Source organism: Homo sapiens, chromosome 1, assembly GCF_000001405.40.
Source record: "Homo sapiens chromosome 1, GRCh38.p14 Primary Assembly".
NCBI lineage: Eukaryota > Metazoa > Chordata > Mammalia > Primates > Hominidae > Homo > Homo sapiens.
In genome coordinates, this window is record NC_000001.11 from 121,644,163 (window position 1) to 121,659,364 (window position 15,202).

At 43.1% G+C, this 15,202-nt stretch overlaps 2 annotated features.

Annotated features, from left to right (window-relative positions):
* Positions 12,577-13,155: an enhancer, noted in NCBI's record as "OCT4-NANOG-H3K27ac hESC enhancer chr1:121398537-121399115 (GRCh37/hg19 assembly coordinates)". NCBI's record gives its function as "activates a minimal SCP1, AML or CMV promoter by ChIP-STARR-seq in primed H9 embryonic stem cells {active_cell/tissue: H9 hESC(primed)}" and the evidence as "EXISTENCE:reporter gene assay evidence [ECO:0000049][PMID:30033119]".
* Positions 13,156-13,733: an enhancer, noted in NCBI's record as "OCT4-NANOG hESC enhancer chr1:121399116-121399693 (GRCh37/hg19 assembly coordinates)". NCBI's record gives its function as "activates a minimal SCP1, AML or CMV promoter by ChIP-STARR-seq in primed H9 embryonic stem cells {active_cell/tissue: H9 hESC(primed)}" and the evidence as "EXISTENCE:reporter gene assay evidence [ECO:0000049][PMID:30033119]".

Consider the following 15,202-nt stretch of genomic DNA (forward strand, 5'->3'; position numbering starts at 1 on the left):
CAGCAAAACTAGAGAGTTTCAAAACTGCTCTATCAAAAGGAATGTTCAACTCTGTGAGTTGCATGCAATCATCACAGAGAAGTTTCTGAGAAGGCTTCTGTCTAGATTTTATGTGAAGATATAGCCGTTTCGAACGAAGGCCACAAAGTGCTCCAAATATCCACTTGCAGGTCCTCCAAAAAGAGTGTTTCAAACGTGAACTACCAAAGGAAGGCTCAACTCGGGACTTTGAAGGCCAACGTCAGAAGGATGTTTATGCGGAAGCTATTGTTTAGTTAGGTGACGTTATCCTGTTTCCAACGAAATCCTCAGAGAGGTCCAAATATCCACCTGCAGATTCTCCAAAAAGTGTGTTTCCAAACTGCTCCACCCAAAGGAATGTTCAGCTCTGTGAGTTAAACTCAATCAACACAAAGTATTTTCTGAGAATGCTTCTGTCCAGTTTTTACATGAAGCTGTTTCCTTTACTACCGTAGGCCTCAAAGCGTTCCAAACCTCCACTTGCAGATACTACGAAAAGAGCGTTTCAACCTGAACTCACAAGGGAAGGTTCAACTCTGTCAGTTGAATGCCAACATCACCAAGAAGTTCTGAGAATGTTCCTCTTCAGTTATGTGAGGTTTATCCCGTTTCCAACGAAATTCTCAGAGAAGTCCCAAAATCCACTTGCATATTCCACAAAGGTGTGTTTTGAAAATGCGCCTTCAAAAGATATGCTCAGCTCTGTGAGTTAAACTCAATCGTCGCAAAGAATTTTCTGAGAATGCTTCCGTCTTGTTTTTAGATGAAGTTCTTTCCTTTACTACGATAGGCCTCAAGGAGGTCCAAATCTCCACTTGCAGATTCTGCAGAAGGAGTGTTTCAAACCTGAACTGTCAGAGAAAGTTTCAACACTGTGAGTTGAATGCAAGCATCACGAAGAAGGTTCTGAGAATGCTTCTGTTTACGTAGGTGACTTTTCTCCCGTATCCAACGAAATCCTCAGAGCAGTCCAAATCTCCACTTGCAGATTCTACACAAAGTGAGTTTGGAAACTGCTCCACCCAAAGGAATGTTCAGCTCTGTGAGTTGAACTGAATCGTCACAAAGCGTTTCCTGGGAATGCTCCTGTCTCGCTTTCATGTGCAGTTATATCATCTACTGCCATAGGCCTCAAAGCGGTCCAAATCTCCCCTTTCAGTTTCTACCAAAAGTGTGTTTCAAAACGGCCCCATCAAAGGGGATGTTCAACTCGGTGACTTGAATGCAATCATCACAAAGCAGCTTCTGAGAATGCTTCCATGTAGCTTTGATGAGAAGATATTTCCTTTTCCAACCCAGGCCTCGAAGCCCTCCAAATGTCCCCTTGCAGATGCTAGAAAGAGGGGGTTTCAAAGCTGCTCTATCAAAAGGAAAGTACAACTCTGTGAGTTGAATGCAAACATCACAAGGAAGTTCCTGAGCATGCTTCCGTTTAGCTTTTATGGGAAGATTATCCCTTTTCCATCGAAATGTTCAAAGAGGTCCACATATCCGCTTGCAGATTCCACCGAAAGAGTGTTTCCAAACTGCTGCATCAAAAGGAATCCTCAGCTCCGTGAGTTGAATGCAATCATCACCAAGAAGTTTCTGACAATGCTTCTCTCTAGTTTTTATGTGAAGATATTTCCTTTTCCACCGCAGGCCTGAAAGCGCTCCAAATGTCCACTTGGAGGCTCTACGAAAAGAATGTTTCAAAACTGCTCTATGAAAAGCAATGTTATACTCTGGGAGTTGAACACAAGCCTCACAAAGGAGTTTCTGAGAATGCTTCTGTTTACTTTTTACGTGAGGATATTCCCGTTTCCAAAGAAGTCTTCACAGAGTTCCACCTATCCATTTGCAGATGCTAGCAAAAGACAGTTTCAAAACTGCTCCATCAAAAGGAATGTTCAACTCTGTGAGTTGCATGCAATCATCACAGAGAAGTTTCTGAGAAGGCTTCTGTCTAGATTTTATGTGAAGATATGGCCGTTTCGAACGAAGGCCACAAAGCGCTCCCAATATCCACTTGCAGGTCCTCCAAAAAGAGTGTTTCAAACGTGAACTACCAAAGGAAGGCTCAACTCTGGACTTTGAATGCCAACGTCAGAAGGATGTTTCTGCGAAAGCTTGTGTTTAGTTAGGTGACGTTATCCCGTTTCCAACGAAATCCTCAGAGAGGTCCAAATATCCACCTGCAGAGTCTACAAAAAGTGTGTTTCAAAACTGCTCCACCCAAAGGAATGTTCAGCTCTGTGAGTTGAACTCAATCATCCCAAAGTATTTTCTGAGAATGCTTCTGTCCAGTTTTTACATGAAGCTGTTTCCTTTACTACCGTAGGCCTCAAAGCGTTCCAAACCTCCACTTGCAGATACTACGAAAAGAGCGTTTCAACCTGAACTCACAAGGGAAGGTTCAACTCTGCCAGTTGAATGCCAACATCACCAAGAACTTCTGAGAATGTTCCTCTTCAGTTACGTGAGGTTTATCCCCTTTCCAACGAAATTCTCAGAGAAGTCCCAAAATCCACTTGCATATTCCACAAAAGGTGTGTTTTGAAAATGCGCCATCAAAAGATATGCTCAGCTCTGTGAGTTAAACTCAATCATCGCAAAGTATTTTCTGAGAATGCTTCCGTCTTGTTTTTAGATGAAGTTCTTTCCTTTACTACGATAGGCCTCAAGGAGGTCCAAATGTCCACTTGCAGATTCTGCAGAAGGAGTGTTTCAAACCTGAACTGTCAGAGAAAGGTTCAACACTGTGAGTTGAATGCAAGCATCACGAAGAAGGTTCTGAGAATGCTTCTGTTTACGTAGGTGACTTTTCTCCCGTATCCAACGAAATCCTCAGAGCGGTCCAAATCTCCACTTGCAGATTCTACACAAAGTGTGTTTGGAAACTGCTTCACCCAAAGGAATGTTCAGCTCTGTGAGTTGAACTCAATCGTCACAAAGCGTTTCCTGGGAATGCTCCTGTCTCGATTTTATGTGCAGTTATATCCTCTACTGCCATAGGCCTCAAAGCGGTCCAAATCTCCCCTTTCAGATTCTACCAAAAGTGTGTTTCCAAACGGCCCCATCAAAGGGGATGTTCAACTCGGTGACTTGAATGCAATCATCACAAAGCAGCTTCTGAGAATGCTTCCATGTAGGTTTGATGAGAAGATATTTCCTTTTCCACCCCAGGCCTCGAAGCCCTCCAAATGTCCCCTTGCAGATGCTAGAAAGAGGGGGTTTCAAAGCTGCTCTATCAAAAGGAAAGTACAACTCTGTGAGTTGAATGCAAACATCACAAGGAAGTTCCTGAGCATGCTTCCGTTTAGCTTTTACGGGAAGATTATCCCTTTTCCATCGAAATGTTCAAAGAGGTCCACATATCCGCTTGCAGATTCCACCGAAAGAGTGTTTCCAAACTGCTGCATCCAAAGGAATCCTCAGCTCCGTGAGTTGAATGCAATCATCACCAAGAAGTTTCTGACAATGCTTCTCTCTAGTTTTTATGTGAAGATATTTCCTTTTCCACCGCAGGCCTGAAAGCGCTCCAAATGTCCACTTGGAGGCTCTACGAAAAGAATGTTTCAAAACTGCTCTATGAAAAGCAATGTTATACTCTGGGAGTTGAACACAAGCCTCACAAAGGAGTTTCTGAGAATGCTTCTGTTTACTTTTTACGTGAGGATATTCCCGTTTTCAAAGCAGTCTTCACAGAGTTCCACCTATCCATTTGCAGATGCTAGCAAAAGAGAGTTTCAAAACTGCTCCATCAAAAGGAATGTTCAACTCTGTGAGTTGCATGCAATCATCACAGAGAAGTTTCTGAGAATGCTTCTGTCTAGATTTTATGTGAAGATATGGCCGTTTCGAACGAAGGCCACAAAGTGCTCCCAATATCCACTTGCAGGTCCTCCAAAAAGAGTGTTTCAAACGTGAACTACCAAAGGAAGGCTCAACTCTGGACTTTGAATGCCAACGTCAGAAGGATGTTTCTGCGAAAGCTTCTGTTTAGTTAGGTGACGTTATCCCGTTTCCAACGAAATCCTCAGAGAGGTCCAAATATCCACCTGCAGAGTCTACAAAAAGTGTGTTTCAAAACTGCTCCACCCAAAGGAATGTTCAGCTCTGTGAGTTGAACTCAATCATCCCAAAGTATTTTCTGAGAATGCTTCTGTCCAGTTTTTACATGAAGCTGTTTCCTTTACTACTGTAGGCCTCAAAGCGTTCCAAACCTCCACTTGCAGATACTACGAAAAGAGCGTTTCAACCTGAACTCACAAGGGAAGGTTCAACTCTGTCAGTTGAATGCCAACATCACCAAGAACTTCTGAGAATGTTCCTCTTCAGTTATGTGAGGTTTATCCCGTTTCCAACGAAATTCTCAGAGAAGTCCAAAAATCCACTTGCATATGCCACAAAAGGTGTGTTTGGAAAATGCGCCATCAAAAGATATGCTCAGCTCTGTGAGTTAAACTCAATCATCGCAAAGAATTTTCTGAGAATGCTTCCGTCTTGTTTTTAGATGAAGTTCTTTCCTTTACTACGATAGGCCTCAAAGAGGTCCAAATCTCCACTTGCAGATTCTGCAGAAGGAGTGTTTCAAACCTGAACTGTCAGAGAAAAGTTCAACACTGTGAGTTGAATGCAAGCATCACGAAGAAGGTTCTGAGAATGCTTCTGTTTACGTAGGTGACTTTTCTCCCTATCCAACGAAATCCTCAGAGCGGTCCAAATCTCCACTTGCAGATTCTACACAAAGTGTGTTTGGAAACTGCTCCACCCACAGGAATGTTCAGCTCTGTGAGTTGAACTCAATGGTCACAAAGCGTTTCCTGGGAATGCTCCTGTCTCGCTTTTATGTGCAGTTATATCCTCTACTGCCATAGGCCTCAAAGCGGTCCAAATCTCCCCTTTCAGATTCTACCAAAAGTGTGTTTCCAAACGGACCCATCAAGGGGGATGTTCAACTCGGTGACTTGAATGCAATAATCACAAAGCAGCTTCTGGGAATGCTTCCATGTAGCTTTGATGAGAAGATATTTCCTTTTCCACCCCAGGCCTCGAAGCCCTCCAAATGTCCCCTTGCAGATGCTAGAAAGAGGGGGTTTCAAAGCTGCTCTATCAAAAGGAAAGTACAACTCTGTGTGTTGAATGCAAACATCAAAAGGAAGTTCCTGAGCATGCTTCCGTTTAGCTTTTATGGGAAGATTATCCCTTTTCCATCGAAATGTTCAAACAGGTCCACATATCCGCTTGCAGATTCCACCGAAAGAGTGTTTCCAAACTGCTGCATCCAAAGGAATCCTCAGCTCCGTGAGTTGAATGCAATCATCACCAAGAAGTTTCTGACAATGCTTCTCTCTAGTTTTTATGTGAAGATATTTCCTTTTCCACCGCAGGCCTGAAAGCGCTCCAAATGTCCACTTGGAGGCTCTACGAAAAGAATGTTTCAAAACTGCTCTATGAAAAGCAATGTTATACTCTGGGAGTTGAACACAAGCCTCACAAAGGAGTTTCTGAGAATGCTTCTGTTTACTTTTTACGTGAGGATATTCCCGTTTCCAAAGAAGTCTTCAAAGAGTTCCACCTACCCATTTGCAGATGCTAGCAAAAGAGAGTTTCAAAACTGCTCCATCAAAAGGAATGTTCAACTCTGTGAGTTGCATGCAATCATCACAGAGAAGTTTCTGAGAAGGCTTCTGTCTAGATTTTATGTGAAGATATGACCGTTTCGAACGAAGGCCACAAAGTGCTCCCAATATCCACTTGCAGGTCCTCCAAAAAGAGTGTTTCAAACGTGAACTACCAAAGGAAGGCTCAACTCTGGACTTTGAATGCCAACGTCAGAAGGATGTTTCTGCGAAAGCTTGTGTTTAGTTAGGTGACGTTATCCCGTTTCCAACGAAATCCTCAGAGAGGTCCAAATATCCACCTGCAGAGTCTACAAAAAGTGTGTTTCAAAACTGCTCCACCCAAAGGAATGTTCAGCTCTGTGAGTTGAACTCAATCATCCCAAAGTATTTTCTGAGAATGCTTCTGTCCAGTTTTTACATGAAGCTGTTTCCTTTACTACCGTAGGCCTCAAAGCGTTCCAAACCTCCACTTGCAGATACTACGAAAAGAGCGTTTCAACCTGAACTCACAAGGGAAGGTTCAACTCTGCCAGTTGAATGCCAACATCACCAAGAACTTCTGAGAATGTTCCTCTTCAGTTACGTGAGGTTTATCCCCTTTCCAACGAAATTCTCAGAGAAGTCCCAAAATCCACTTGCATATTCCACAAAAGGTGTGTTTTGAAAATGCGCCATCAAAAGATATGCTCAGCTCTGTGAGTTAAACTCAATCATCGCAAAGTATTTTCTGAGAATGCTTCCGTCTTGTTTTTAGATGAAGTTCTTTCCTTTACTACGATAGGCCTCAAGGAGGTCCAAATGTCCACTTGCAGATTCTGCAGAAGGAGTGTTTCAAACCTGAACTGTCAGAGAAAGGTTCAACACTGTGAGTTGAATGCAAGCATCACGAAGAAGGTTCTGAGAATGCTTCTGTTTACGTAGGTGACTTTTCTCCCGTATCCAACGAAATCCTCAGAGCGGTCCAAATCTCCACTTGCAGATTCTACACAAAGTGTGTTTGGAAACTGCTTCACCCAAAGGAATGTTCAGCTCTGTGAGTTGAACTCAATCGTCACAAAGCGTTTCCTGGGAATGCTCCTGTCTCGCTTTTATGTGCAGTTATATCCTCTACTGCCATAGGCCTCAAAGCGGTCCAAATCTCCCCTTCCAGATTCTACCAAAAGTGTGTTTCCAAACGGCCCCATCAAAGGGGATGTTCAACCCGGTGACTTGAATGCAATGATCACAAAGCAGCTTCTGAGAATGCTTCCATGTAGCTTTGATGAGAAGATATTTCCTTTTCCACCCCAGGCCTCGAAGCCCTCCAAATGTCCCCTTGCAGATGCTAGAAAGAGGGGGTTTCAAAGCTGCTCTATCAAAAGGAAAGTAAAACTCTGTGAGTTGAATGCAAACATCACAAGGAAGTTCCTGAGCATGCTTCCGTTTAGCTTTTACGGGAAGATTATCCCTTTTCCATCGAAATGTTCAAAGAGGTCCACATATCCGCTTGCAGATTCCACCGAAAGAGTGTTTCCAAACTGCTGCATCAAAAGGAATCCTCAGCTCCGTGAGTTGAATGCAATCATCACCAAGAAGTTTCTGACAATGCTTCTCTCTAGTTTTTATGTGAAGATATTTCCTTTTCCACCGCAGGCCTGAAAGCGCTCCAAATGTCCACTTGGAGGCTCTACGAAAAGAATGTTTCAAAACTGCTCTATGAAAAGCAATGTTATACTCTGGGAGTTGAACACAAGCCTCACAAAGGAGTTTCTGAGAATGCTTCTGTTTACTTTTTACGTGAGGATATTCCCGTTTCCAAAGAAGTCTTCACAGAGTTCCACCTATCCATTTGCAGATGCTAGCAAAAGAGAGTTTCAAAACTGCTCCATCAAAAGGAATGTTCAACTCTGTGAGTTGCATGCAATCATCACAGAGAAGTTTCTGAGAAGGCTTCTGTCTAGATTTTATGTGAAGATATGGCCGTTTCGAACGAAGGCCACAAAGCGCTCCCAATATCCACTTGCAGGTCCTCCAAAAAGAGTGTTTCAAACGTGAACTACCAAAGGAAGGCTCAACTCTGGACTTTGAATGCCAACGTCAGAAGGATGTTTCTGCGAAAGCTTGTGTTTAGTTAGGTGACGTTATCCCGTTTCCAACGAAATCCTCAGAGAGGTCCAAATATCCACCTGCAGAGTCTACAAAAAGTGTGTTTCAAAACTGCTCCACCCAAAGGAATGTTCAGCTCTGTGAGTTGAACTCAATCATCCCAAAGTATTTTCTGAGAATGCTTCTGTCCAGTTTTTACATGAAGCTGTTTCCTTTACTACCGTAGGCCTCAAAGCGTTCCAAACCTCCACTTGCAGATACTACGAAAAGAGCGTTTCAACCTGAACTCACAAGGGAAGGTTCAACTCTGCCAGTTGAATGCCAACATCACCAAGAACTTCTGAGAATGTTCCTCTTCAGTTACGTGAGGTTTATCCCCTTTCCAACGAAATTCTCAGAGAAGTCCCAAAATCCACTTGCATATTCCACAAAAGGTGTGTTTTGAAAATGCGCCATCAAAAGATATGCTCAGCTCTGTGAGTTAAACTCAATCATCGCAAAGTATTTTCTGAGAATGCTTCCGTCTTGTTTTTAGATGAAGTTCTTTCCTTTACTACGATAGGCCTCAAGGAGGTCCAAATGTCCACTTGCAGATTCTGCAGAAGGAGTGTTTCAAACCTGAACTGTCAGAGAAAGGTTCAACACTGTGAGTTGAATGCAAGCATCACGAAGAAGGTTCTGAGAATGCTTCTGTTTACGTAGGTGACTTTTCTCCCGTATCCAACGAAATCCTCAGAGCGGTCCAAATCTCCACTTGCAGATTCTACACAAAGTGTGTTTGGAAACTGCTTCACCCAAAGGAATGTTCAGCTCTGTGAGTTGAACTCAATCGTCACAAAGCGTTTCCTGGGAATGCTCCTGTCTCGATTTTATGTGCAGTTATATCCTCTACTGCCATAGGCCTCAAAGCGGTCCAAATCTCCCCTTTCAGATTCTACCAAAAGTGTGTTTCCAAACGGCCCCATCAAAGGGGATGTTCAACTCGGTGACTTGAATGCAATCATCACAAAGCAGCTTCTGAGAATGCTTCCATGTAGGTTTGATGAGAAGATATTTCCTTTTCCACCCCAGGCCTCGAAGCCCTCCAAATGTCCCCTTGCAGATGCTAGAAAGAGGGGGTTTCAAAGCTGCTCTATCAAAAGGAAAGTACAACTCTGTGAGTTGAATGCAAACATCACAAGGAAGTTCCTGAGCATGCTTCCGTTTAGCTTTTACGGGAAGATTATCCCTTTTCCATCGAAATGTTCAAAGAGGTCCACATATCCGCTTGCAGATTCCACCGAAAGAGTGTTTCCAAACTGCTGCATCCAAAGGAATCCTCAGCTCCGTGAGTTGAATGCAATCATCACCAAGAAGTTTCTGACAATGCTTCTCTCTAGTTTTTATGTGAAGATATTTCCTTTTCCACCGCAGGCCTGAAAGCGCTCCAAATGTCCACTTGGAGGCTCTACGAAAAGAATGTTTCAAAACTGCTCTATGAAAAGCAATGTTATACTCTGGGAGTTGAACACAAGCCTCACAAAGGAGTTTCTGAGAATGCTTCTGTTTACTTTTTACGTGAGGATATTCCCGTTTTCAAAGCAGTCTTCACAGAGTTCCACCTATCCATTTGCAGATGCTAGCAAAAGAGAGTTTCAAAACTGCTCCATCAAAAGGAATGTTCAACTCTGTGAGTTGCATGCAATCATCACAGAGAAGTTTCTGAGAATGCTTCTGTCTAGATTTTATGTGAAGATATGGCCGTTTCGAACGAAGGCCACAAAGTGCTCCCAATATCCACTTGCAGGTCCTCCAAAAAGAGTGTTTCAAACGTGAACTACCAAAGGAAGGCTCAACTCTGGACTTTGAATGCCAACGTCAGAAGGATGTTTCTGCGAAAGCTTCTGTTTAGTTAGGTGACGTTATCCCGTTTCCAACGAAATCCTCAGAGAGGTCCAAATATCCACCTGCAGAGTCTACAAAAAGTGTGTTTCAAAACTGCTCCACCCAAAGGAATGTTCAGCTCTGTGAGTTGAACTCAATCATCCCAAAGTATTTTCTGAGAATGCTTCTGTCCAGTTTTTACATGAAGCTGTTTCCTTTACTACTGTAGGCCTCAAAGCGTTCCAAACCTCCACTTGCAGATACTACGAAAAGAGCGTTTCAACCTGAACTCACAAGGGAAGGTTCAACTCTGTCAGTTGAATGCCAACATCACCAAGAACTTCTGAGAATGTTCCTCTTCAGTTATGTGAGGTTTATCCCGTTTCCAACGAAATTCTCAGAGAAGTCCAAAAATCCACTTGCATATTCCACAAAAGGTGTGTTTGGAAAATGCGCCATCAAAAGATATGCTCAGCTCTGTGAGTTAAACTCAATCATCGCAAAGAATTTTCTGAGAATGCTTCCGTCTTGTTTTTAGATGAAGTTCTTTCTTTACTACGATAGGCCTCAAAGAGGTCCAAATCTCCACTTGCAGATTCTGCAGAAGGAGTGTTTCAAACCTGAACTGTCAGAGAAAAGTTCAACACTGTGAGTTGAATGCAAGCATCACGAAGAAGGTTCTGAGAATGCTTCTGTTTACGTAGGTGACTTTTCTCCCTATCCAACGAAATCCTCAGAGCGGTCCAAATCTCCACTTGCAGATTCTACACAAAGTGTGTTTGGAAACTGCTCCACCCACAGGAATGTTCAGCTCTGTGAGTTGAACTCAATGGTCACAAAGCGTTTCCTGGGAATGCTCCTGTCTCGCTTTTATGTGCAGTTATATCCTCTACTGCCATAGGCCTCAAAGCGGTCCAAATCTCCCCTTTCAGATTCTACCAAAAGTGTGTTTCCAAACGGACCCATCAAGGGGGATGTTCAACTCGGTGACTTGAATGCAATCATCACAAAGCAGCTTCTGGGAATGCTTCCATGTAGCTTTGATGAGAAGATATTTCCTTTTCCACCCCAGGCCTCGAAGCCCTCCAAATGTCCCCTTGCAGATGCTAGAAAGAGGGGGTTTCAAAGCTGCTCTATCAAAAGGAAAGTACAACTCTGTGTGTTGAATGCAAACATCACAAGGAAGTTCCTGAGCATGCTTCCGTTTAGCTTTTATGGGAAGATTATCCCTTTTCCATCGAAATGTTCAAACAGGTCCACATATCCGCTTGCAGATTCCACCGAAAGAGTGTTTCCAAACTGCTGCATCCAAAGGAATCCTCAGCTCCGTGAGTTGAATGCAATCATCACCAAGAAGTTTCTGACAATGCTTCTCTCTAGTTTTTATGTGAAGATATTTCCTTTTCCACCGCAGGCCTGAAAGCGCTCCAAATGTCCACTTGGAGGCTCTACGAAAAGAATGTTTCAAAACTGCTCTATGAAAAGCAATGTTATACTCTGGGAGTTGAACACAAGCCTCACAAAGGAGTTTCTGAGAATGCTTCTGTTTACTTTTTACGTGAGGATATTCCCGTTTCCAAAGAAGTCTTCAAAGAGTTCCACCTACCCATTTGCAGATGCTAGCAAAAGAGAGTTTCAAAACTGCTCCATCAAAAGGAATGTTCAACTCTGTGAGTTGCATGCAATCATCACAGAGAAGTTTCTGAGAAGGCTTCTGTCTAGATTTTATGTGAAGATATGACCGTTTCGAACGAAGGCCACAAAGTGCTCCCAATATCCACTTGCAGGTCCTCCAAAAAGAGTGTTTCAAACGTGAACTACCAAAGGAAGGCTCAACTCTGGACTTTGAATGCCAACGTCAGAAGGATGTTTCTGCGAAAGCTTGTGTTTAGTTAGGTGACGTTATCCCGTTTCCAACGAAATCCTCAGAGAGGTCCAAATATCCACCTGCAGAGTCTACAAAAAGTGTGTTTCAAAACTGCTCCACCCAAAGGAATGTTCAGCTCTGTGAGTTGAACTCAATCATCCCAAAGTATTTTCTGAGAATGCTTCTGTCCAGTTTTTACATGAAGCTGTTTCCTTTACTACCGTAGGCCTCAAAGCGTTCCAAACCTCCACTTGCAGATACTACGAAAAGAGCGTTTCAACCTGAACTCACAAGGGAAGGTTCAACTCTGCCAGTTGAATGCCAACATCACCAAGAACTTCTGAGAATGTTCCTCTTCAGTTACGTGAGGTTTATCCCGTTTCCAACGAAATTCTCAGAGAAGTCCCAAAATCCACTTGCATATTCCACAAAAGGTGTGTTTTGAAAATGCGCCATCAAAAGATATGCTCAGCTCTGTGAGTTAAACTCAATCATCGCAAAGTATTTTCTGAGAATGCTTCCGTCTTGTTTTTAGATGAAGTTCTTTCCTTTACTATGATAGGCCTCAAGGAGGTCCAAATCTCCACTTGCAGATTCTGCAGAAGGAGTGTTTCAAACCTGAACTGTCAGAGAAAGGTTCAACACTGTGAGTTGAATGCAAGCATCACGAAGAAGGTTCTGAGAATGCTTCTGTTTACGTAGGTGACTTTTCTCCCGTATCCAACGAAATCCTCAGAGCGGTCCAAATCTCCACTTGCAGATTCTACACAAAGTGTGTTTGGAAACTGCTCCACCCAAAGGAATGTTCAGCTCTGTGAGTTGAACTCAATCGTCACAAAGCGTTTCCTGGGAATGCTCCTGTCTCGCTTTTATGTGCAGTTATATCCTCTACTGCCATAGGCCTCAAAGCGGTCCAAATCTCCCCTTCCAGATTCTACCAAAAGTGTGTTTCCAAACGGCCCCATCAAAGGGGATGTTCAACTCGGTGACTTGAATGCAATCATCACAAAGCAGCTTCTGAGAATGCTTCCATGTAGCTTTGATGAGAAGATATTTCCTTTTCCACCCCAGGCCTCGAAGCCCTCCAAATGTCCCCTTGCAGATGCTAGAAAGAGGGGGTTTCAAAGCTGCTCTATCAAAAGGAAAGTACAACTCTGTGCGTTGAATGCAAACATCACAAGGAAGTTCCTGAGCATGCTTCCGTTTAGCTTTTACGGGAAGATTATCCCTTTTCCATCGAAATGTTCAAAGAGGTCCACATATCCGCTTGCAGATTCCACCGAAAGAGTGTTTCCAAACTGCTGCATCAAAAGGAATCCTCAGCTCCGTGAGTTGAATGCAATCATCACCAAGAAGTTTCTGACAATGCTTCTCTCTAGTTTTTATGTGAAGATATTTCCTTTTCCACCGCAGGCCTGAAAGCGCTCCAAATGTCCACTTGGAGGCTCTACGAAAAGAATGTTTCAAAACTGCTCTATGAAAAGCAATGTTATACTCTGGGAGTTGAACACAAGCCTCACAAAGGAGTTTCTGAGAATGCTTCTGTTTACTTTTTACGTGAGGATATTCCCGTTTCCAAAGAAGTCTTCACAGAGTTCCACCTATCCATTTGCAGATGCTAGCAAAAGAGAGTTTCAAAACTGCTCCATCAAAAGGAATGTTCAACTCTGTGAGTTGCATGCAATCATCACAGAGAAGTTTCTGAGAAGGCTTCTGTCTAGATTTTATGTGAAGATATGGCCGTTTCGAACGAAGGCCACAAAGCGCTCCCAATATCCACTTGCAGGTCCTCCAAAAAGAGTGTTTCAAACGTGAACTACCAAAGGAAGGCTCAACTCTGGACTTTGAATGCCAACGTCAGAAGGATGTTTCTGCGAAAGCTTCTGTTTAGTTAGGTGACGTTATCCCGTTTCCAACGAAATCCTCAGAGAGGTCCAAATATCCACCTGCAGAGTCTACAAAAAGTGTGTTTCAAAACTGCTCCACCCAAAGGAATGTTCAGCTCTGTGAGTTGAACTCAATCATCCCAAAGTATTTTCTGAGAATGCTTCTGTCCAGTTTTTACATGAAGCTGTTTCCTTTACTACCGTAGGCCTCAAAGCGTTCCAAACCTCCACTTGCAGATACTACGAAAAGAGCGTTTCAACCTGAACTCACAAGGGAAGGTTCAACTCTGCCAGTTGAATGCCAACATCACCAAGAACTTCTGAGAATGTTCCTCTTCAGTTACGTGAGGTTTATCCCCTTTCCAACGAAATTCTCAGAGAAGTCCCAAAATCCACTTGCATATTCCACAAAAGGTGTGTTTTGAAAATGCGCCATCAAAAGATATGCTCAGCTCTGTGAGTTAAACTCAATCATCGCAAAGTATTTTCTGAGAATGCTTCCGTCTTGTTTTTAGATGAAGTTCTTTCCTTTACTACGATAGGCCTCAAGGAGGTCCAAATGTCCACTTGCAGATTCTGCAGAAGGAGTGTTTCAAACCTGAACTGTCAGAGAAAGGTTCAACACTGTGAGTTGAATGCAAGCATCACGAAGAAGGTTCTGAGAATGCTTCTGTTTACGTAGGTGACTTTTCTCCCGTATCCAACGAAATCCTCAGAGCGGTCCAAATCTCCACTTGCAGATTCTACACAAAGTGTGTTTGGAAACTGCTTCACCCAAAGGAATGTTCAGCTCTGTGAGTTGAACTCAATCGTCACAAAGCGTTTCCTGGGAATGCTCCTGTCTCGATTTTATGTGCAGTTATATCCTCTACTGCCATAGGCCTCAAAGCGGTCCAAATCTCCCCTTTCAGATTCTACCAAAAGTGTGTTTCCAAACGGCCCCATCAAAGGGGATGTTCAACTCGGTGACTTGAATGCAATCATCACAAAGCAGCTTCTGAGAATGCTTCCATGTAGGTTTGATGAGAAGATATTTCCTTTTCCACCCCAGGCCTCGAAGCCCTCCAAATGTCCCCTTGCAGATGCTAGAAAGAGGGGGTTTCAAAGCTGCTCTATCAAAAGGAAAGTACAACTCTGTGAGTTGAATGCAAACATCACAAGGAAGTTCCTGAGCATGCTTCCGTTTAGCTTTTACGGGAAGATTATCCCTTTTCCATCGAAATGTTCAAAGAGGTCCACATATCCGCTTGCAGATTCCACCGAAAGAGTGTTTCCAAACTGCTGCATCCAAAGGAATCCTCAGCTCCGTGAGTTGAATGCAATCATCACCAAGAAGTTTCTGACAATGCTTCTCTCTAGTTTTTATGTGAAGATATTTCCTTTTCCACCGCAGGCCTGAAAGCGCTCCAAATGTCCACTTGGAGGCTCTACGAAAAGAATGTTTCAAAACTGCTCTATGAAAAGCAATGTTATACTCTGGGAGTTGAACACAAGCCTCACAAAGGAGTTTCTGAGAATGCTTCTGTTTACTTTTTACGTGAGGATATTCCCGTTTTCAAAGCAGTCTTCACAGAGTTCCACCTATCCATTTGCAGATGCTAGCAAAAGAGAGTTTCAAAACTGCTCCATCAAAAGGAATGTTCAACTCTGTGAGTTGCATGCAATCATCACAGAGAAGTTTCTGAGAATGCTTCTGTCTAGATTTTATGTGAAGATATGGCCGTTTCGAACGAAGGCCACAAAGTGCTCCCAATATCCACTTGCAGGTCCTCCAAAAAGAGTGTTTCAAACGTGAACTACCAAAGGAAGGCTCAACTCTGGACTTTGAAGGCCAACGTCAGAAGGATGTTTCTGCGAAAGCTTCTGTTTAGTTA